Here is a 25,466-nt window from a genome sequence, read left to right as displayed (position 1 = left end):
GTGGCGGGTGCCTGTAGTCGCAGCTACTAGGGAGGCTGAGGCAGGAGAATGGCGTGAACCCTGGAGGCAGAGCTTGCAGTGAGCCGAGATGGCGCCACTGCACTCCAGCCTGGGTGACAGAGTGAGACTCCGTTTCAAAAAAAAAAAAAGAATATGTGGTACATATACACAATGAAGTCCTATCTAGCTATAAAAAAGAATAAAATATTGTCATTTGCAGCAACATGAATGGAACTAAAGGATATTATATTAAATGAAATAAGCCGGGCACAGAAAGACAAACTTCACATGTTCTCATTTGGTGGAAAAGCTAGTGGGGATGGGGTAGTGCAGAGGGCTAATGGATACAAAAGTATAATTAGATAGGATGAATAAGATCTAACGTTTGATAGCACAACAGGGTGACTACAGTCAACAATAATTTACTCTACATTATAAAATATCTTAAAAAGTATAATTGGAATGTTCATAACACAATGAAATGAAATGATAAATACTTGAGGTGATTGACATCCACCTGACATGATTACTACACATTGTATACCTGTATCAAAATTTCTCATGTATCGCATAAATAGATACATCAACTATATACCCCCAAAAATTAACATTTGAAAAAGATTCCTAATCCATCTTGCATTAATATTTGCATATGGTGAAAGGTACAGGTCCAGATTCATTCTTCTGTCTGCTATACCAGCACCATGTAATGACTTTTAAACTTCCAAGATATTTACTTGTTCCATGATTCTTATTACATTCTTTTTCATTTTTCTCTTTTTTGTAACATCTTTTATCTTTCTGAGTTATTAACTATGTTTCTTTTTCCTTTCAGTTTTCTTCCCTTTTTTCCTGTATTGTCTCTATTTCCTCCTAATTAACTTTGGTCACCATCTTTCACAATTGACATTTTCTTGGATGATTCATGGATTTCTGTTTTTATTTAACAGCACGAAAAATATCAATGGAAGTTTGGTGTGCATGGAGAGGAGAATCAGAGCTAAGTGTTGGGCTTCATTAAAAATAATACCACTGTACTATTATGTGCATATCACACTGTTTGATCTGTGCATTTTCTCCAAAGATAAGTCTTACACTCTTATCCCTGGAGGATTCCAGAATTTTATGAACTGAGTGGGGCAGGGGAAGGAGAATTTGCCCTTCAATATTCAGACTTTCACATAATCCTGTTGTTATCACTATGGCAACTAACTTCTGCCTTTAGCTCTGCCTGAGATCTGAAACCCAAAGTCTGGTTTCACTCTTCAGAGAGTAAAATTCTCATTTCCCACAGGGTAGCAAAAACTCCCTCGTCTGCTGGCAGGTTTCTGAGCATCTAACTGTGCTTATAGTGTAGATGTTACATAAGCAGAACTTGTGACAGAATCAAAGCATGATGCATTTAATTTGTTTTTTTGTTGTTGTTGTTTGTTTAATTTTATTTTTACTTATTGGCTTACTTATTTTATCTCCTGCAGCAACTTTAAGTTATATTCAACACTACTTTCCTTGCCCTGAGATGGAAATTTCCATTTGACCTACACACTGGGGTTGCCCTTAGACTCACAGTCCCCTGTAACTCACAAACACAGACTTAATTTGTAATTAATCAACATGCTCTATCTTGAACAATCTTCAAGTCCTACATTTTAATTTAGTGGCAAATCTTGTTCCCTTCCCCAGCCTGGGGTCTCCAACAAACAAAACCAGGAATGAGTATGTGGTCAGTTTTTCTTTTATCCATCCCCACTTTTTCACCTCCCTCCAGTCTGCTTATGTAAGCTTCTCTCCACTCTCATGTTAGAGATTGGGGGAAAAGACAAGTTTTCACAGAGTGACATTACTATCTGAGTTAGGGTGCTCTAGATGACAGCTGTTTAAGGCTCACTCTTTCCTTGGTATCTGTGTGGGATCCTGGGAAATTTCCATGCGTTAGGAACTTCCTGTAGCTCCTTGACATGGGAAATGCATGTTTTCCTTTAGATGGAAATAGAAATGTTCCCTCAAACTCTGATTTTCCAGAGGTTGTTACCCCACAGAGACATTACTCTTGGGATCCACTTGTCCAGAAGCAGAAGACCTCTTGGGTTAGGATTAAAGAGCTTCCAGATAGCTCTCTCACCTTGCCCTAGCAAATCCAGGAAGTACACGGTAACCTGCATTCTACTACCTTCCTCAAGCATGAATCAGACCTCAGTATGTTTCCCCTCCTCCCAGTACAGAGAACACATTTTAATATCTCTAAGTGGTCCAAAGGAAGCCTTCTTCACTAGATTTGAAGAAAAAAAAGAGGAATTTTAAAACCTCTCTCCTAAGAAACTGGTAAGAAATCCACCCCCCCCCCCAAAAATGTTGAGAGAGTGGAGAATAAATCAAAGTTTTATTAACCAGCTTTGGAGTGAAGTGATTTGTTCTCCACTCTCTAAACATTTTTGGGGGGAGATTTCACAAATAAGTGATGAAACCAAGATACATGGAACAAGTTCCTCTATTTCTTTTGTTAACAATGCTGCCCTTGATGATCTGAAACCTTGTTCTGAAATTTCACATCTACGATATCATTGTGTCTCACTAAAAACTTAGGTGTAAAACTCTGTTAAACAAACTCTCTATACCCCACCATCAGGGGTACGCAGTGCCTCTACTTCTGAGCATACCTGTGTTCTGATACATTTATTATCTTCTTTTGTTGGTCCCTCTCCTAGTCTAGTGGACAATTAGTTTAAAAATAGAAAAATTAATACGCAGATGGATAAATTAATGATTGAATGAATTTTAATGGATATTACGTAATAAAAGTCACACTGGAACTTTGCCCATACTCTTGAGAGACCTAGTTCCTTCACCATATTACATGGACTGAGCTGGATCTGCCATTTCAGTGCCCTCATAAATCCTTAGCTATTATGTTTTCCTTCTCCCTTTAGAGTTTATCTTTCTCAGCCCCCAACTGGCCAAATCACAGAACAAAACTCCCAGTATTACACTTACTGTTTAAAAAAATCTTTGATGCCATTAAGGAAAAAAGATATTTATTGCTGAAAATTTCAGGCATTGAGCCAAGTAAGGAAAAGAAATGTATTTGTCCAAGGAATTCAGGGCACTCTAAGGCCCTCTCTTGACTTACTCCTTCTGATATCATTACAGCCAAGATTAAAAATGAGGTTTGATATTGGAGAATAAGTTGTCTGACACTTCCTAGCACCATTCTCAATTCTGGAAAAAAGTACATTTTTATAAATTTCTTAAGGATTATTTATTAAATATTTACCACATGAGAGACACTGTCCTAAACCCCTGGGATTCAAAGAAGAGAGACACAAAGTAACATAGGAAATGCCTAAAATGCAGGCAAAGGGTGAGGTGGGACCACCAATAACAAACAAATAACTGGAAGAACTAAAAAAGACCTCACAGAGAAAGTTACATTTATTAAAATTTAGAAGAACAAGAATTCAAACGGGTTGGGAGAGCAGAAAAGGAGGAAGGACATTCCAGGCAAGAAAACAGCATGAGCTGAAGCATGGACGTGTGAAATAAAATCTGCTAACTTTTGAGGAATGAGTTAGCTAAAAAGAGAGGATACTGGGATAGTAGTTCTAAATGAGTCTGTAAGAAAGTTTGGGGTGAGATTGTGCAAGTCTTTTGTGTGAAGGAGTTTACATTCCTCCTGTAAGTGAGCCAGAGACCACAGAAATTTTAAGGAAGAGAATGATAAGATCAGAAATGCCATTCTGAAAATTAAAAAGTGAGAAAAGTGTACTGAAGACTAGGACCAATGCCTAAGCAATCTATTCAAGCATCCACTCATTCATTAAAATACTTATTAAGTACCATTGTAGGCAGGCCCTAAGACTAGGTGGTACAGATACAGAGGTGAACAGGGCAGACAAGGCCCTGCCCTCAGAGAACTTATATTCTAATGTTAAAACCTTGATGTGGCCGAGGTGGGTGGATCATGAGGTCAGGAGATCGAGACCATCCTGGCTAACACGATGAAAATCTGTCTTTACTAAAAATAAAAAATATTAGCCAGGCGTGGTGGCAGGCCCCTGTAGTCCCAGCTACTCAGGAGGCTGAGGCAGGAGAATGGCGTGAACCCGGGAGGTGGAGCTTGCAGTGAGCCAAGATCACACCACTGCACTCCAGCCTGGGCAACAGAGCAAGACTCTGTCTCAAAAAAAAAAAAAAAAAAAAAAACCTTGATGTGAATTTTGTTCATAATTTAATGTGTTCAATTTAGTACACATTAAATTATGTGTACTATGGTATACTTCATAAATTAATTATTTATACTATGGTATACTTCCTTCTACTAATGGTAGAAGGAAGGCCTCATGAGTGCTTTCTGGGAGAAAATCAAGGTGATGTAATAAGGCTAACTTTGGCAAGGGTTGGAGGGGGATGTGCTACTTTAATTCTTCTTTTTTTTTTTTTTTTTTTTTTTGGAACAGGGTCTCTCTCCCTGTGTTGCCAAAGCTGGACTCCAGTTATCCTCCCACATCAGCCTCCCCAGTGTCTGAAACTACAGACACACACCACCATGCTAGCGTGGAACGGGTATTTTAGATTAGACAATCAAGAAAGTGTTTCTCAGGGTATGATCCATGAACCACCTGCATCATAATCATTTGGAAACTTTTTAAAATGCAAATTCCCAGACCCAAGCCCCATATTGGATAAGTCAGTATTTCTGAAAGTAGGATCAGAGACCCCGAATACTTTAACAAGCACCCCAAGATAATTCTTACCCACACTAGAGTTTGAGAACACTGGACTCCAGACTAGAAGCCTAATTAGAAGGGTATTACTCAGATGAAAGAACACAAGAATGGTGAGGATGAAAAGATTCAGGGAGATTTAAGAGATATTTAGGGAGTAAGATCCAGAAGAGGGCAAAATGATCCAGTTTATCAAACCTATTGTACATAACTGATTGCTGAGTAGTTTAATGTATACTATGAACAAAATTCACATCAATGTTTTAACAATTTATACAACCCTGATATATGACTCTCCTTCACTTGCAAAGAATTTTACATTCTAACCAAAGATTCCTGAGAAATAAATCTGTAAATGTAGAAATGTAGGCTTCCTGACAGGTAAGAGGAAAAGGTATTTTCAACTGGCACAAACAATTAAGATGACAGTGAAGCATCATGCAGAAGCAGCCAGATGATGGAGCAGGCAGACAGACAATTACATTCTAGGGGGAAAAAATTACAACTGCCATACTTCAGTTTAGCATGGATTATTTTTTATACTAAATATCTGAGTTCTAGCAATTAAAGTAATTGTAAATGTTGAAGAAAAATTTATGATCAACAAAGGCTCCTAGCAGAGTCTCATTAATCCCTAGCATTCAATTTTCCAATTCTAAACTACCGAGGATCTGAATATATGGCCTTATGGTGATCATACAAATGTTTCTTGCTATGGTTATGAAAGATTCCACTGGAACCACAACACTAAAAGTGTTTGCTTTGTATGTACCACACAAATGGTACATCAGGAGATGCTAACAAAAATTGGTTTTCTCTCTGCCTAGGCAGCTTGTGTGCCTAGTCCCCAAGAATATATACATATATATATTATATATATGTATATATTTAATTGATATTTATATTTATATGTATTGAATTGAATATACATAGAAATGATATTTATGTTTAGTAGAGTATAATGATACTACATTCTTTTATAACATGATACTATTTATAGACTATTTCATATACATTGTATTAATGGATTTTCATGAAATCCATGAGATGTTTATTATGCCACTTTTAGGTAAAAGGAAAAACTGAGTCTCAGAGAGTTGAAGTAATTAGCTCAAGAACACATATCTTAGTAGCAGCAGGGCCCAGAATACAAGCCCAGGCATTTTGACAAAATGTCCAGTGATCTTTCTTCACAAAGACCCATAGCTTAGGTAATGTTAAAGAGCAGAACTTTGCTTTGGGATCCCTTTCACATTTGGGTTAGTTCTTTCTGCCTTTCCTGTCCTTCACCTCTTTCCTCTGCTTCTCTCCTTCCTTCTCCTTCCTGGTCCACATTTTCAGATATCTAGTAAGCCAGCACTGCAGGTTATCCCTAATCCTACCAATAAGAAACTTTTCAGATTTTCCCTTCTTTGGTAATTCTCTGGACTTTGAACATTTTTCTTGACCTTCACAGTTTAATGATGCTGTTGACCCATTCCTGGAAGGCCCGGTTCTCAGGTAGAAGTAGCATGGTCAGTGACCTGAAAGAGCCACACCAACCAAGACGCCACTGTCTGATGACAACTCAGATTCTTCTCATGGTATCTGGTCTTTAAGCTCAGATAAGGATGCAAAGAGAGCCAGCCTGGGGCGTGCATGAATCAGGACTGCCATTAGCACCCTGCCTGCAGCTTCTGCTTGTGCCCACCTTCTTCCACTTTCCTCCATTCTCTGTCTTGATCAGAGATCACAAACAAGACATCAAGAACTAAACTCTGCATCAGGCTGTTTTGTTTTTGTATCTCCTGCTTTCTTCTCCTCCCCTTCTTCCTCTTCTTTATTCTCTTCCTCTTTCTTTTCCTCTTCCTCTTCTTCTTCCTCTTCCTTCTCCTCCTCCTCCTCCCTCTTCTCTAGGAGGGCCACATAATCTGAACTTTGCCACAACCCTCCCTGTCGGTGTCATCTTACATCAAGCCAGCTTCACTTACCTACTTGACCTTTCTAGCTTCTGAGAGCATTTGGGTTTATAACTCCCAATCTTGCTCATAAATATCTACTTTATTTTCTGTAATCCTTCTTCTCTTCTTTATCTTGCATTGACAAGGTCTCCCCAGCATCAGGAACTCCACTTTTCAACTTCTGAGGCTCAACCTTAACTCTGATTCTTAACTTGCTGTACTTTCTTAGATACAAATCTCATGTTCAATTTGTAATACGTAATTTATTTAATTTTAAAATGTTGTCAAATATGACAACATAGTAATAGTTCTGGGTAGTGGTATATGATATTTCTTTGAATATTCTATGTGTTTTTCATATTTTACAGCATTTTTCAAAATAAAAACAAAAATTCTAGTAATCCTTATTTTATCAAATTCCATACAGTTTTAACCTTCCTATAGCCATTCAACGGGTGCCCTGAGTGAGTGATTCCTTTCTTTTCGACCCTTACATTTGTAGTTTTAGATATAATTTTCTCTATTCAGCAGTAAATTATAATCTAAGCTATTTATCTTAAGACAATGTATTTTAACACTGCTCCAGAAAAGAATGCTTTTATCAAAAGGAATAAGCTGTAGTGTTAGAATATCACAAACCTACTCTCTAGTTCAGAGTTTCCAAGTAGGTCATATACAGAAAATCTATATCGGAGTGGCCATATGTTTTTGAGATCAAGAATAAGAAGCACACAGACAGCTCATTGCTGCTCTATGGCTCTATTATTTGCTTTTTTTTCACCTGGACTATGACATTTCATGGTTAACTTTCTGAGTCTCTTGTGTGACCAGATGCTTCATTCCTTGCTCTCTAACCATTTATGTCCCTCTCAATCATCATGTCTCTTACTTAAAAATCCCTTTCTCAGGCAGACCTGCCCTGAATTTTAATTCTAGGCTGTGCTGCTTCTGTTCTATGCTTCTTTTGTAAATGTAATTACTTGTTCAGTGCCTGTCTTCCTACCAGGCAGAATGTTCCATGGAGGTGGAGACCAATCCATTTCATTCATTGCTGCCTTGTAGTGCCTAGTCCATTGCCAAGCCTGTAAAAGGCAACAAACAAATATCTGTTGAATGAAAGATGGAAGGAAGCAAGTCTGAGAGGGGAGAGAGTATGGGGGATGGGGGACAAAAAGGTACTGTTTTCAAGGAGGGTCTATAAACCAACCAATGTCCTTAAGCTTTTAGCTTCTTATTCCTTACCAGTCTCCATGTTTAATTTTCTCACCTTTTGCCTGTTCTGAGTTTCTCAATGAAAATATTAGAAAAAAATCACAAAAGAATGATTGTGAATTATAATTATGAACAACTGAGGGCTTTTGTGGCAGGAGACTCAGGGCCTCTCCTGCAGCTGAAGCTTGGGAAGAAAACACTTAATTCTCAGAAATGTCTGTCTAATAAATCAGGTTTCAACAAAGTTAATTAACTGGAAAGCACATGACTTGAAAAACTCCATTTAAACCTCTCCTAGATTAAATGCTGATGAGAGGCTGGACAAATACTCATGTTTAATCTCTGACTTGGAGATCAATCCTCTGAAACAGGAAAAGTGGGCCGCTGGTGGAACCACCTGGTTGCCCAGTGATAAGGAATATGTTAAAAACAACTTCTCAAATAGGTTATAAGTACATGTCAAAGTTTTATTCCAAATGTTCTCTGAGAGACAAGGCTCTGAGGATGCCAACCTGATGATTAATCTTTATTAGAGACATTGTATAGTAGACTAAATATAAAAAGGGAGGAGGTATCTGGTTAAAGATAGTTGGGAAATATGGATCAAAGACCATCACATCTTTGAATGTCTGGTGAAAGTTTATTATGTTCATTATACACAGACTGAGAATCGATTGGTGTTAATGCAAGCTTCCCAATAGAGGCCTTAATGTTAAAATCTGACAGAAGTAAAGTGATAACCAATGTCCAACCATTTCATCACAAAACTTACTTTCTAGAAGAGCCTGTAAATGACATCATACTCTCAAAATTGTTCCACCAGGTGAATGCCTATATATACATTCAATATAAATATAAATAAATAGTTAGTTATATAGAGAGCTCTCTAGTTGTTTGGCCTTAGGAAATGCATTAACCCAACCCTCATTCACCCATGCTGTGTTATCAAACAAAATGAAATAAAGTTGGGTTTGGGTTGACTACTATTGACTAATGTAAAATACCTTGTTCAATGGATATATATAAAGTTAATCCTCTTAGCAGAAGGACATGTTGGCTTTATGTTTTGGATAACGTTTGGGTTGTGTTTGTTGTTTGTTTCTATGATCTTTTTCCAGTAGTAAAATGGAAAGAAAAAGTTAGCTTTTGGGTAAGGGACTAAGAAATTTTGAGTTTTAGTCCTGGCTCTGCTATCAACTACTTGTATGAGCTCAGGTAATCTTTTACCTCTTCAGCAAAGCAAAGGCATTGAATTATATGATTTCTAGTATCTCATCTAGTTCTGCTGATCCTAACTTATTTTTAATGTTAAAAAATGAGGAGCAAACTTAATTTATCCCCATTCCTTCAATCTTGGAATAGGAGAAGATAAGCAGTAGATGGAAAAAATGGTTTATTTTCCTGTCTTTTCATTCTCCCTCCAGGGAACAACAGAAATCACTGCCACGAAAGGCTAGGAGGGTCATAGGGTCCTGGATATTTATTTATCCTGGCTCCTTGAGCCTGACAATGTCTTTCTTTCCCTTCAAGGATACAAGCATTTGGTGAACTTAACACAAAGAGGAAACTGTCACAGACAAACTCAAAACCTTGCCCAATATCACAAGGCCTTTTAGGGGTAGATCTGGTTTTAGAAGCCAGGTGTCCGTTTTTTACACACATAATACAATTTTATTATACAGGAAAACTGTGACAAATGATCCAGGGCACAGAGAATACAAATGAAGTCCAGAAGAGAACTGCAGCAGTAGACAATCATTGAATTTTCTAAAAAGCAGAGATATGTTGGATAATTTTACTGTTATATTCTAGAGAATTAGAGCAAAACTGCATCAGGTGCTTAGAATGTGCCAGGCACTTTCATAAATGCTTTACTTGCATTATTATTGCTTTCAATCCTTTAACTCCATGGAGAGATGGAAACTATAAATTCTCCCATTTTACAGTTAATGAACAGAAGTCAAAACTTGGCTGTAGACTTTGATCACTTGTCAAGGGTGATGTAAAAATTCCTGTGTCTGAGTATTACTCCCAGAATTATTTTATTTAACTGATGTGTAGTAGAGACTGTGCAGCAGGAATTTTAAAGTCTTGCCAGGTGATTCTAACATGCAGCAAAGTTTGAGTGCCACTAGGTTAAATTACCAGCCCAAGGTCAACCATGTAGAACCACATAGGTCAAATATTTGAACCCTTGCACCCTAAGTGGGGCATCCACATCTTAATACTATCTGCCTCTACTTTATGTGTATCTTGGAACATTTAATGTGCAGAAAGACTAGTAAAGTAGGTAGATTTATTCCCATTATACAGATAAAGCACCTGAGCTTCAAAGCAGTTGCCTAACATCGAAAAATGTAGTGGGTCAGTGGCAGAAGTTGGATTTGTACCCAAAAGTTTTCTGGTGTCAAAGCCCATGGGCAACTGTCTTTTATTACTCATCCGTGAACATCTGGAGTATAATGTATCTAAATTACAATATTTAATGTGCAGGAGCAGAAAGGTAGAAACAACAAAGGATTAAGAACTTGCTCCTTGGGCCAGGGACAGTGGCTCATGCCTGTAATCCCAGCCCTTCAGGAGGCCAAGGTAGGTGGATCACAAGTTCAAGAGATTGAGACCATCCTGGCCAACATGGTGAAACCCCGTCTCTACTAAAAATACAAAAAAAAAAAAAAAATTAGCTGGGCATGGTGGTGCATGCCTGTAGTCCCAGCTACTCGGGAGGCTGAAGCAGGAGAATCGTTGAGAACCAAGGAGGCCGAGGTTGCAGTGAGCCGAGATCACGCCACTGCACTCTAACTTAGTGTCGTCGCAGCGTATTTTCTCACACATAGAGATAATGGTGAATAATAGTTATATAGAGTTAAAAGAATGCTCCATATGAAATTTAGGTACATGATGCTTAAATTAATTTCTGTAAACTGGCCTGATAATCAGGGCATCATTAACAACATTATTTCTATGGGAAAATAACATACTCCCAAATGAATTTTTGGGTGACAACTGTAAGGTGGGGATTGTCTGCACTATATAAACACCAGATGTCAATATTAGGAATGCTAATCTGTGTGTATATGAAAGATGTGTTTTTAAAATGTAAATGTAAACCAAATTCATCAATTTAAAAATACCAGATGAATATATCCATTTTTCATCTTCAGGGGCTGACAGAATGGCTTTTAAATCTGCACTATAGCATTAAAAAATTGTTTCTTCGAATTACATTTCCCCATTCCAAGCATCTAGCATCTGTCACACAAGCCACATATGGTGGCTTGGTTAGCAAAGTGATAAAGAATTATAGTAGGCATCAACCACCTGATTCAATTAGTTATCAATCATTTAAACCACATCAAGCTTTTTTGTGACTGCCAGGGCCTTTGCACTAACTAAATAAACAACTGGTGTTTCCTGTTCAAACTGACAAAACAAAGACCATCCTTGATTTTTTCTTCTCACTGCACACTCTCATTCCTTCCATTAATAATAAGCCTACTCAGCACCACAGTTGACTCAAGTTTCCAGAAGACCTCCTTTCCTCTTGTTTCTGTAGTACCCTCTTGCTCCCTCCAAAACACTGCATGTATCTTTTCTTTCTTTGTGTGATGGACCAAGTTAAACCATAGGTCTTCCCAGAAGCCTTCCAATGCAATGCAGAATTTCTTCTTCAAGGACCCGGCATCCCTTTAGCAGAGTGGACTGTGGCTGTGTCATCCTGCTTACCACAGCGTGCCTTGCATTCCTTCCAGAAATGCGTGAGTGTGGCTCTGTGCTAAGCACCATTGTAGGCAGGCACCAGAGCTGTGAAAGGAGTATATTGCAGATAAGCAGTATATCGCAGATAAGGAGTATATCACAGATAAGGAGTATATTGCAGATGCTCCTAGTCTGACAGAGAGGTGCAAATACACAATGAAACTTATTATAATATAGCTGATTTTAGAATTATTGTTTTTCTAACACTTTATTTTACTTATTTTAAAATAGATACTACTTTCCTATGATATAAAAGTTACAAAGAGGTGAAACAGTGAAAATTATTTTCCAACTTTTTTCCCAATTATTCAGCTCTTCTCTCCAGATGCAACCAATGTTAACAGTTCTCTTGTACATTCTTCCAGAGATTTCATGAGTGTGTAAACAACTACCAAGTATATAAAAATACATACATGTATATGTACATATATACACACACATATTTAAAAATATTTAAATGTATATATAAATACATATATTTAAATAAACATACACCATACATATACATATATGTATTTTATATATTACATATACATTAAAAATATTTTTCACACAAAATTATAAAAACCAAAACATGATTTTATAGCTTGCTTTTTTACTTTATATTTTAATATTTTACATAATACTTGATTAGTATGTAAAGAACTTTCTGATTTGTTTTTAAATTTGGCTATACACTATTCCGTGAGAGGAATATACCATTATTTATATAACCAAAGCCTGATTGAAAAATATTTTGGTTTTTCTCAATCTTTTGCCATTATAAACAATGCCATGATGAATAGTACTATACATGCATCATACGTATGTATGTGTGTATATACATATACATGTGTAAAATTTTTCTAATCTGCACTACACTGCAAAGCATAAAAATGCTTATTTCTGCACACCCTCACCAACCTAGTTAAGTTATCAAACTTTTGATCTTTATCAATCTGATGTGGGAAAAAAGTGAAATCTCAGTGTCCTGCTTTAATTTGCATTTTTTTATTATGAGTGAGATTAGGTCTCTTTCACATGTTTAAGAACAATCCCTATTTTCTTTGCATTCTCTGGACATCTGTATTACCGATTGCTATGATTTGAATATTTGTCCGCTTCAAAACTCATGTTGAAACTTAATCCCCAGTGTAACAGTATTAACAGGTAAGGCCTTTAAGAGGTAATTTAGTCATGAGGGCTCTGCTCTCATGAATAGATTAATACATTCAGGGATTAACAGATTAATCGGTTATTGAGAGAGTGGCTTAGTCATCATGAGAGTGGGTCTGGCCATCTCTTGTGAGCCCGCCTTGCCATGTAATGTCCTGGGCTGCCTCAGGAATCTGCAGATTCCTCACCAGCAAGAAGGCCCACACCACATGCAGCTCCTTGACCTTGGATTTCCTTGCCTTTAGAACTGTAAGAAATAAATTTCTTTAAAAAGTACTCAGTCTCAGATATTTAGTTATGCCAACAGAAAATAGACTAAAACACTAGTTTTTCTATTGGGTTGTTATTGTTTCTTATTGATTTGTAGTAGCATTATAAATCAAAGAAATTAGCCTTCTGTGAAGTAAGTTGCATATTTTCCCCTTCCATTAATAATCTGTCTTTTGAATTTGCCTTGCAGAAATTTGACAATTTTATGAAACTAAATTTATTAATCTCAGCATGGGCAAAGTCTTTAAAAGCATGATACAAAACACAGAAGCCATAACTGAAAAGAGAGGAGAAAGTATATCTGATTTTCCAGTTAGAGGAGAGAAAAAGAATTATGGTTTGTTTTATGTTTGTTTGATTTCTGCATTCCATGTTACAAATAATATGGGGACATATGCTGAGTCTAATTAGGCCAGTTTAAGAAGCAGCCAGCTAATACCTATTGTTCAGATTATTAAAGCTGCAAAACAAATTATTCCAAAACTCAGTGCATAAAACAAATATTTTTGTGTTCATGGATTCTGTGGGTCAGGAATTCCTACTGGCACAGCAGGAATGAATTGTATCTGTTCCATGATGTCTAAGGCCTGCTAAGTCTCAAAGGTTGTCTCAAATAGGTGATTTTGGCAGTAGGCAGAGACATTAGCTGGAGCCATTGGCCCGAACACTTTTATATGATGTCCCAAGGTTTCCTATGCTTCCTCATAGGGCTGAGTCCCAAGGGGGCATGTCACAGAAAGACATAGCCAGATCGAATACATATCATAGAAAGCAAAGTGTCACTTCTGCTGTACTATATCAATCAGATTGGTCACAAGACTAGCCAGGTTCAAAGGGAGAGAAAATAGACCCCACCTCTTTTTATTTATATTTAATAGACTTTTTATTTTTTGGAGAACTTTTAGGTTTACAGGAAAATGTAATGGGAAGTATAGAGAGTTTCCATAGATTCCCTTTACCACTGCCTCCCTCCCCACTGTTTCCCCTTATTATTATCCTATTGCATTCATGTGGTACATTTCTTATCACTGATGAGCCAGTATTGATGCGTTATTATTAACTAAGTTCCATAGTTTATATTAGCATTCACTCTGTCTTATACATCTTACGAGTTTTTTAAAATGCATGATGACATGTATTTGTCATTACAGTATCATACAGATTAGTTTCACCACTGTAAAAACCTCTTGTGCCCCACCTAGTCATCCTTTTGCTAAACCACTGGCAACCACTGATTTTTTTACTGTGTCCATTGTTTTGTCATTTTTTAATGTCATATAATTAGAATCACATAGTATGTAGGGTTTTTGGATTGGCTGCTTTCACTTCATACACATTTAGTTTTTCTCCATGTCTTTTCATGGCTTAATAACTAATTTCTTTTTATTGCTGAGCAATATTTCATAGAGTTGATGCACCGCAGTTAGTTTTTCCATTCACCTATTCAAGGACATCTTGATTTAGATTGTTGCTTTTAAACCTTTCTTTTTCTAATATTTGCATTCAATGCTATAAATTTCCTTCTAATTACTGCTTTTGATACAGCATGAAAATGTTGATACATTGTATTTTCATTTTCATTTAGTTCAAAATGTATTTTAATTATTTTTCAGATTTTTTCTTTAACCACTTGTTATTTAGAAGTATAATTTTTAATCTCCAACCATTCTGGGATTTTCCAGTTATCTGTCTATTATTGATATCTAGTTCAATTCAATTGTGGTCTAAGATCAAACATTGTATGATTCCCATTATTTTTAAATTGCTAAAGCGTATTCTGTGTCCCAAAATTTGATCTAGTGGCAGATCATGTGTGACTGGAAATATTGCCTTGGTCTTTTTGAAAAACGCAATCTATCATACCTATTCAGAGACTGGTCGTATAGATCCTCAGTACAACGAAGATATCAGTCTACAGGTAGAACTCACTGGTGGGAACCATTAGATTGGAGGATCATGTGTGGCTTTCCTCTTGCAACAGCTAAAAAATTAAACCTACCTCAAGCTACAGGGCAGTTTCCTGAGATGCTTCTGGTGAGCAAGTCTCCTTTGCCAGCTACCCCAGGATGATACTGGTATAAATAAGAAACAGTCAGTTCTGGGAACATTTCTTTGCTCCCTCCTTCTGCTGGTGATTTTTCTCTCCAATGTTCCTTTTATCAAATAACGGAAAAGACAAGATGAAAAAATCCAATCAGCTCTCTTAATTATGCCATTAGCCACTCTGCTACAGTCAATGCTCAGTTAAAGAAACAAAAAAAGATGCTATTTACCGAAGGCAGAATGCGTGGATGATCTCTGGCTTTCAGTGATCCATACTTGTTTTCTTTTGCCCTGATTAGCATCATTGACTAATCCCATTTTTTTAAAAAGAATTTCCTATAAAGACTCATTATTTCATACAGAACATGTCCTGCTCAGTTAAACTAGTCAGTAAGTGTAGCACTGCCTTTTGCTGAAATCTACTGGGATATTTTAATTACAAAACAAAACGAAGCTGCTAATTTATGGCTGTGGCTTTTAGCTCAACAGAGCTAAGCAGCACATTAAATATGAAAACTGAAATCACACCATTCTAATTAAATAGTTAAGGTATGTGGTCTATTTGTTCTTTGACTGTACGAAGTTGGGATATGGAGTGAAGATAATTTCACAGAGAGCTACAAAGAACTAATGAGGAAAATAGTTTTTATTTTGAAAAGGAGCATATAGGGGATATAAAAGTTTTGCCCAAGAGGCACTAGTAATCTGAGGTCTTTTTTTTTTTTTAAGATATTGCCAAAGTAGTCAGTCGATGGGGTAGGGCAGCAGGGAATTCAGAAGAGTGTATTCTGACAGTCATTTTAGACAATGTCTGTAATGCAACCATCACCAAAAGACTGAACCTCATATTTCAAAAGGTGAAAAGCAGCTGTTAGCCAGCTGTGGCATATGGGTGTCAGTAAAAAATAGTTTGCATTCTATCACTTAGTAAAGGTGGAGCATTTGTATTAGTAGGAGTAATAGCCTAAAATAGCAAGCACCTAGGAAAAATCAGTCTGCTAATTGAGGAGGTTGGTAGTTGAGGTCGAATAGTTAAGTTATAAAATTCTGTGAAATCTTGGGTCAGATACGCAAAGAAGGAGACACAGAGTGTAAAGCCACTAACCTAAGAGCAAGCCCTTGGCCACAGACTTCAAGACATGAGTTTATGGTTTAATTTCAAGTAATTCTCCATTATTTAGAAAGTATTATTTTTACATTGATCTCCACCTTGCTCCTTTCCAGACTGTCTTAAAAACTTGACATAATCCAAATCTATCTAAGAAAGAGAAAGGATTCAAGAGAAACCATAAAAGACAGATTCCAAGAAAATTAGGTAGGGGCAGATAGGAGGCTTTAGAAGACATTTTAACATGACGAATGATCCTGACATCTAATGAACCCATTGTTTTCCTTACAATATATATCACTTCCAAAAAGTCTTCTGAAAATATTCAACTCCTTTTGATTTCTTTCAATATTTCAGTGCCTGCTGGAGGGACAGGTAAGATATGACTCTGTGACAGGACTGTCACTTTGGACTTTGCAAGCAACCATCCAGTAATGTTTTACCATAGCCTACTAGTAATGGATGAGGATAATTGGATACTATCCTCCCAGCAATGAGAGCACCATGACATCTGATTTTACATTTTGCACGCTTTTCATAACAAAAGAGACCATTACAGAATTCCTTGCTGCCCTGAGCATGCTTTAAACCTGCTGGAAAACTTAACTAAATTACAGCTTTTGCACCTATTTTGTGCCCTATCTAATCCAAATCAATCTATGTTTGTTTTATTTTAAGATTTAAACTCCACTTGGACCTTCAGCATTATTTCATCCCTTTCTCTCCAACTGCAAGAAGGGTGCTGACATTTTCAAATCTTTTATGTAAATGAGAACATAGGAAGGAAAAAGTATACATTTTGTGTGTAGAGTATAAATTTTCTAAGCACGTATAGCACTTTGCTAGACCCTACATCTTTAAAGTCTTCACACTACATATTACAGAGCAGAAACACATGTAAAATAGTAATTGGAGTGCACATCCATGGAGGATTTGTGGTATCCCAGGCAGTGTTTAAGATTTTTATATGCAATATACTTAATAGCCCATTCTAGAAGTAATAACTAGCATATTTAAAAATTACTGATTTTATATGTATTATCTCACTTAAGTCTCACAACAACCTCACAACACGTAAGTCTCACAATAAGTACTATAAAAAAAATACCCAAGTAACAGATGAAGACATGAAGGCTCAGAGAAATTCTCATCTGCCAAGCATCGCACAGTTTGCAAATCATGAAGCCTTCAGTCTTGGCCATTAAGATGTACTGCCTTCAGTGGAGTTAAATCTGGGGCCATAAAGAGTCATTTTTCAGGGACAGAACTGGATCTAATCAAGTGACAAAAATTGCTATGGATGCATGTCTGCTTTGCGGTGGCATACTGATATGGTTTGGCTGTGTCCCCACCCAAATCACACCTTGAATTGTAATAATCCCCATGTGTCAAGGGCGGGGCAGGTGGAGATAACTGAATCACGGGGGGCAGTTTCCCCCATACTGTTCTCATGGTAGTGAATAAGTCTCATGAGATCTGATGGTTTTATAAGTGGGAGTTCCCCTGCACAGCTCTCTTGCCTGCTGCCATGTAAGACATGAATTTGTTCCTCGTTTGCCTTTAGCCATGACTGTGTGGCCTCCCCAGCCATGTGGAACTGTGAGTCCATTAAACCTCTTTCCTTTATAAATTACCCAGTCATGAATATGTCTTTGTTAGCAGCATGAGAACAGACGAGTACAGTAAATTGGTACTGGTAGAGTGGGGTGCTGCTGTAAAGATACCTGAAAATGGGGAAGCAACTTTTTAACTGGGTAATAGGCAGAGGTTGGAACAATTTGGAGGGCTCAGAAGAAGATAGAAAAATGTGGGAAAGTTTGGAACTTCCTAGAGACTTAGAGGGCTCAGAAGATAGGAAGATGTTGGAAAATTTGGAACTTCCTAGAGATTTGTTGAATGGCTTTGACCAAAATGCTGATAGTGATATGGACAATAAAGCCCAGGCTGACATGGTCTTAGATGGAAATGAGGAACTTGCTTGGAACTGGAGCAAAGGTGACTCTTGCTATGCTTTAGCAAAGAGATTGGCAGTTCTTTCCCCTGTCCTAGAGATATGTGAAACTTTCACCTTGAGAGAGATGATTAGGGGTATCTGGCAGAAGTAATTTCTAAGAGGCAAAGCATTCAAGAGGGAGCAGGGCATAAAAATTTGGAAAATTTGCAGCCTGCTGATGTTTTGTTCAGTTTTGTTTGCTTCTGTAATGCTTCTGGGTCTTAGATCTAGCAGAAGAATAGTCACCTTCTTGAGGAAGAAAAAGTTGTCTGTGTAAACAGCAGACCTCTTGCTACCTTTATAAGGTGTCTCCCAATACCAACTGCTGGTCCTTAGAGTACTATTGTTAAGCCCGAAAGGATAAAGCCCCAAAGACTCAACACTGAGTTACAACACTGAGAATTAAATTCCAAGTCCTAGCTGTTTTCCAGGCTGCAAGTTAACTCTGTGGAAAGCAGTTCGGCGATTTCTCAAAGAACTCAAAGCAGAATTACCATCCCACCCAGCAATCCCATTATTGACTATATACCCAGAGGAACATACATTGTTCTACCATGAAGACACTTGCCTACGTGTGTTCATTGCAGCATTATTTGCAATAGCACAGATATGGCATCAACCTAAATGCCTGTCAACAGTAGACCAGATAAAGAAAATGTGGTAATTCTACTTACTTTCTGTCTTGCGTTGCATTCCCCCAAAGCAATGCTTAAGCTAAGGATTTAGGTGAAAGTGCTTTATTAGGAAGCTTTCTCCTATAGAAACCAGTCTTAGAGGAGGGGAAGCAGGAGATAAAAGGAGAACAAGCCAAGCAAAAGTGCAATTTCACATGAAGTCCATGACAGCCTGATCCCTCAGGGTCACTCAGGGACTCTAACTCTTAAATACAAAAATACATGTAAATTTTAACACCCTCAGCTTCAACTTTTATTGGTTGAATATAACAGCCTCTTTAATAACATAATTATAAACTATATATGTACCACAACTATTCAAAGTACATTTCTGCTCCACAGCCTTTGTAATTAAGAACGTCGTTTTTACAGTGATATTGTGCCACACCAATGTATGTGTTTCCATTATCGTTGCAAAACCAAATAATTTTAATAAATTGTAAACAATCTCAAACCTTAAAAAATGTAAGTACAGTGTAATTTTTTAACAAATCATTTAAGATCAAGTTGTTGATGAAATGCCCCAACACCACCCAATACTTCAGGGTACACTTCCTACAAAAGGATATTCTTACAACCATAATATAATCATTCAAACCAAGAAATTAACATTAATATATCAGTACTGTCTAGTCCTTGGATCCTTTCAAATTTCACCAATTGTCTTCTCTGCAGAAAAGATAATTCATTTATGACTATTTTTCTCAGTAATTTATCATGTCTCTTTAGTCTCCTTCATTCTGGGACAGGCCCCAGTTTTTCCTTGACTTTTATTACTATGAAATTTTTTAGGAGAACAGGCCAGTTATTTTGTAGGATGCCCTCTCCAGTTTTTCTTTCTTCCTTTTTATTTCAACTTTTATTTTACATGTAGGAGGTACTTGTGTAGGTTTGTTACATGGGAATATTGCATGATGTTGAGGTTTGTAGTACTGATCCTGTCACACAGGAAGTGAGCGTAGTACCCGGATGGTAGGTTTTTCACCTGTCCCCACCTCCCTCTCCCCTCTAGTAGTCCACGGTGTCTACTGTTTTCATATTTATGTACATTAGTGCTCAGTGTTTAGCTCCCACTTATAACTGAAAGCATATGGTATTTGCTTTCCTGTTCCCACATAAATTCATTTAGGATAATGGCCTTCAGCTCTATCCATGTTGCTGCAAAGGAAATGATTTCCTTTATCATGGCATTCTATGGTATATTTTCTTTATCCAGTCAATCATTGATTAGCACTTGGTTGATTCCATGTCTTTGCTGTTGTGAATAGTGCAGCAACAAACCTATGAGTGCATGTGTCCTTTTGTTAGAATGATTTATTTTCCTTTGGGTATACATCCAGTAATGGGATTGCTGGGTCAAATGGTAATTATATTTTAAGTCTCTTCAGAAATTTGCGGGCTACTTTCCACAGTGGCTGGACTCATTTACACTCCTTCCAAAAGTGTATAAGCTTTTCCATTTTTCTGCAGCCTCACCAGCATCAGTTGTTTTTTGGCTTTTTAAATAATAGGCATTATGACTGGTGGGAGACGGTATCTCACTGTGGCTTTTATTTCCATTCTCTGGTGATTCCTGATGCTGAGCACTTTTTCATATGTTTGTTGGCCACTCATATGTCTTCTTTTGAGATGTATCCATTCATGTCCTTTGCCCATTTTTAATGAGGTTATTTGTTTTTTGCTTGTTGATTTGTTTAAGTTCCCTGTTTCTTAAGTTAATCTCTACCCCAAGTCCAGCACCTACGGTTTTCTCTTTTTCAGATTTTTTTAGCCAAATACTGAAAAAGTTTCTAACTAGTTTCTCTAGACCCAGTCTGACCTTGTCAATCCTCTTGACCACTGCCAGAGTGAATGTTCTAAAATACAAATCTGTCCCTCTCCTGATTTAAAGCATTAAATATTTCAGTCTTCCTAAAAATTCAAAATAAAGTAAAAGTTCTAATTAGTATTCAAGTTACTTTATAATCATGTCACTATTCACCCCACCCAACTCGCCTTCTGCAAGTTTTCTACACAGATTTTATGCTGGGTATGTTTTGTTTACCTCTCCAGATCCATTTTCACCCCTCCATCCTGCTCTGTGCAGTGGGACCACATTAATGAGCTTCCAAGCTTGTTCAGCCCCAGGAGATCAGAGTGAGGGAGAAGAGTAGCCTCATGGGGTTTAATGTCTTGCATTCCTCTCTGCAAATCCTCCTGGGCTCTGCCTCAGTTTACTGCTTCTCTCAAGGCAACATTCTCTACCAGACTTTCTCCTTTTGGGATCTGACAATTGCTCCCTCATCTTATCCTTTTGGGTATAAAAACAGCTTCTCCAGTGTTATTTGCACAGATCACTGTCTTATCCTATGTTTTCTTTGTATGCTTTTATAAATCCTACCTATGGAAAAAAAAGAAAGCCTTCTAAAATTATCCTAATTTCTGTGTGACATCTGTGTTCTGTTGGGACCTTAACTGGCCAATACACACACTTCAATAGCTTCATGCTTACCTACAATCAGTTTAACTTTTACCTTACTATATGCCATTATGCCTGTACATTGCTGTTTCACTGGCCCCTTTCTTCTTCTTCCAGTCATAATTAAAACAACTTCCTCTTCTATGAATCCTTCCCTGAGCCTTTTTAGAATTCAGAAATCTGTACCTCCACCATGAATTCTCAGTACATTGCATATTTTGCAAGGATGGGAACCGTGTCCAGTTTTTCTTTGTATCTCCAGCACTTTGCACAAGCTGGCAAGCAATACATTTTTTTTCACGTAAATGAACTGATGTATGATGCAATAAAGCAGGAAGTGTGCTTTTTCTGATTATACCAAAAGAAGCCTCTTCCAGACAGCAGTGCAATGAGTTCTATAAATGTACAAATGCAAAACAAGAGATTAAAGAGATTAAGAAGTAACAGCAACAGCATAGCAGTAGCTGCTACTCTTCTTACAGCATATGAGGAAACAAATAATTAGGCTGAGAAACCACTACCTAATGTTTAGAGCAGAATTGGCAACTCTGAGCAAGCACATCAACACCTCCCCGCACCCACCGTGCTACCTCTATGAGCCTATGGCCAATGATACTAATGGATAAACATCTCTCTCGCTAAACTCAGAGACAATTTCAAATATCATTAAACACAGAAATAGAAGAATCAGTATACATTTGTCAATTGTGCTATAAAGTTGGCTTCCCATGGTGTAGAGACACTCCTATTAGAGAAGAAGGATTTGGGGGACAATGAAGAATTTGAATTTTACTATGTAACATAATATTACAAAAAGATATGTGACTAGAAATGAATCCAGGCACCTTTGCACAATGGCTGAATATTTTAGGTAAGGATCTCTTAATTTAAAAACCTGTTATAGTTGTCATTTATATTTCTCCATTCTAGGCAATAAGTATCTCATCCCAAAAAAAAAGACAGTATAATCTGCAGTTATAGTATGTTGTTAATTTTGTCCATTCTTTGATTTTGGTTTCAAAGGCTGGATTACCATTATAAAACACCACAATAGATTCTAATGTCAGCAATTCTTAACAACCTTTCGTTGCGCAATATCTTCTAAAAAGGACATCAATTCTGCTCCAGTAGTGGGAGTTGAATTGGCAAAAACATTCAAGAGGAGTGGTGTTATTGATTTAAGAAAGTTTTCTTTTGTTGTTTGGAATATACTTTTTGAATATTTCAACCTGAAATACAATTTGAGAGTGGTTAGTCATTCTAGTGCACTGGTCGACTTCATATTTGCTTTTGTTTGTCTGCACGTTTGTTTTACTAAGAGATTAAAATGTATCCTAAGAAAATCATCCTAGTACTGATTTTTTTGTAAAATTAATATTTCAATAAAATTATGCTCTGTATAATTTTATTTTTATTTTATGTAAAGTTAATAAAGTTAGCTCTATTTTATGTAAAGCTAACGTAGTTATCCCTATTTTATGTAGATAAGTTTACAGTATGTATGATAGATTTTAAGAGACTGGCAGACCCTGATCTGTAACTTCATAACATTTTGAAAGACATTTCAAATTTTCAGTCTTTATTTTATACATCATAAAATAAGAGTGTCCTGCATTATAATAAGCTATGTTTTTATTCAAAACTTCTTTTTACAAAGGAAAATAGTTAATAGGTCATATCTTTTTGCATTCTAGAATTTATTATGTAAATTTCTCATATAAAACTTCAATTAACCCAAAATAAATAATTATAAACTCACTTTCTATTATAAATGTCTGTAATCAAAGGCCTAAGAATAGGAAGTTTATTATTACCATATTGTTATAGAAATAATCTGTTGATATTTTCTCTTCTATATAGAAACATCTCATCTATCTACTTGAGCACTGGGTTGAAAATGGAAATCAGGAGCCCTGAGCACAAGGTGAGTCTCTATTACTCTCTTAGTTTGTGGTCTTTCACAAACTGTTGAAGCCCCAGAGAACTGGCTTTTGCAATTGTCAAGTTAGGGGACTGGGCCAATGATCTCCTTGCCCCTTACAGATGTGCCACAGTAGAAGCTAAACCAGTGGTTCCCAAATGCTTTTCTGTGGACTTTGGAGAGTCCATTTTAAAGTTTTCACCAATTTGTGAAAAAATGAGAAACATAGGGTAAAATAGTGAATTTTTCATAAAGTTAAATTACTCAATTTGCCTTCTTTTGTTTTTGACATCATTTCCTTTCTCCTTTTTATTACTTTTTTTTTTTTTTGCATAGAACCTTTGTTAAAATATCCTCTATTTTGTAAATGGTGAGGTCAGTAGGTAATAGGTCCCTTTTTTGTTGTTTTTGTTGGGTTTTTAATGTTTTCTGGGCAAAATGAAAGTCGGAAATAATTACCCAGGCCGCTCCTCTACTATTTAACTATTATTTAAAAATTCTACTGAATGGAACACCTCATTGTAAATCACTGATCTCAATCTTTCACTGCAATAATTCACTTTCAACTTACATTAATACTGATTGCCATTTATGGATTTAATTAATACCAATACACAAAACTTAATTAGGGAGAATTGAAGATTGTATTCATGTTTTATGATCTTTATTTTATGTAAATTTATGTATAGTTTTGTGGTCGTGTGCATTCTATAAAGGATGTATTACTAGTAGTAAATCTCTCATCTTAAAAATTCCCATATCTTTTTTCAACAGTCATAGGTTTATCCATTAAAAAAAAAAGTCTTAGAAGAAGTGGTCTCGAGGTTTTCATTCATCAACTGTTGGAGTTGATCTCTCCAAAATTACTGTGTAGGCAAGAACATAGAAAAAGGTTGTTTCCTCTTATTCTCCTTTATTTACCTCAATAAATGTCTTCTTAGCAGAAACAATTAATCTACCCAAATTTAATGCCCCCTTCCTTCTTAAGGAGCAATTTAACAAGGTATATTTAAAAAAAAAATGGACTGAAAGTCCGTTACAGTAAATAGCTAGCCAGGCATGAGCAGGGCAGGAGAGGGCTCCTCCCACCCACCAGGAATGCCAGGCGACCATCAGATGATGGTTAGGCAGTTGTCACACTGCCTCTCTGAAATAATAATTGGTCTCAGCCAGTGCCAGGGAGAGGCAGTTTCCCAGTAGATAAAAACACCTGGAATAGGTAATCAGCAGCTTTCACAAATTGGGCAAGTGGGCTCAAGCATGCACATTAAGAGGCAAACTGGCAGAGCGTGACCTTCCAGGGGCATTCCACTAGAAAAGGGAAGAAAGCTTCAGGTGAACATGCATATGACTCCAGTAAACACACTGCACATGCTCAACTCACAAGTGCATGCAGGGCACCAGGCATGCGAGCGGCTCACCGTAAGGGAAGAATGAAGGGAAATGGGAGCAAAACGCCTGAAGTAGGCCAGCATACAAAATCCCAGGTTCAAGGTTAAACAGGGCACTTGAACTTCAAGATGCTCACTTGGGCCTCTTCCAAGTGTACTTTCCTCTTTCCTGCTCTAAAGCTTTTTAATACACTTCCACTCTTCTCTGAAATTGGCCTCTGTATCTTTTTCTGCCTTATGCCCCTCAGTCGTATTCTGTCTTCTAAGGAGGCAAGAATTGAGGTTGCTGTATGCCTGTACAGATTTGCCATGAGATACCTGCCATCACAACTCAGATATCTGTCACTACTAACAAGTCAAGATTTACAAAAATGTCAAGTGATATTGTAAGTGATATTGAGATACTGTTTTAACAAGCAAGCACATTGTATGGTATAGTATACTTCATTCCTTAGATGATAGGCATTCTCCTACCTCAGTGACTATGCACCCAAATCATTAGAACTGTGCTGCCCAATTTGCAAGCTCCTGGCTACTTGTAGTTATTTATTTTTCAACATTATTGAATTATATAATTAGAATATATCCATTCTAAGTGTACGGTTTGATGAATTTTGAAAAAGACCTGCACACCTATCACTATCATCACAATCAAGACAAAGAATATTTGCACTCCCTCAAAAAACTTCCTGGCACTCCATTATTTTGGCTACTTACATTTAAATGGATATTAATTAAAACTCAGTGTTATTAAAGATCCAGTTCCTCCACTGCACCACCAACATTTCAAGTGCTACATAGCCATATCAGATAGTACCACT

At 37.0% G+C, this 25,466-nt stretch overlaps 1 long non-coding RNA gene across 1 annotated transcript in view; it reads left to right on the top strand.

The window, feature by feature from the left end:
* The window catches only part of LOC105374432 (uncharacterized), a 59,764-nt gene extending 36,507 nt beyond the window's left edge, over positions 1 to 23,257 (top strand). Inside the window, exon 3 of the long non-coding RNA XR_925265.1 lies at positions 23,194 to 23,257. This is a non-coding gene — a long non-coding RNA (uncharacterized LOC105374432). The remainder of the gene's footprint in view (positions 1 to 23,193) is intronic.
* Positions 23,258 to 25,466: the final 2,209 nt, after the last annotated feature.

Source organism: Homo sapiens, chromosome 4 (assembly GCF_000001405.40).
Source record: "Homo sapiens chromosome 4, GRCh38.p14 Primary Assembly".
Classification (NCBI taxonomy): domain Eukaryota; kingdom Metazoa; phylum Chordata; class Mammalia; order Primates; family Hominidae; genus Homo; species Homo sapiens.
Note: the sequence above shows the minus strand (reverse complement) of the source record. Positions and strands in the feature narration are given on the sequence as shown.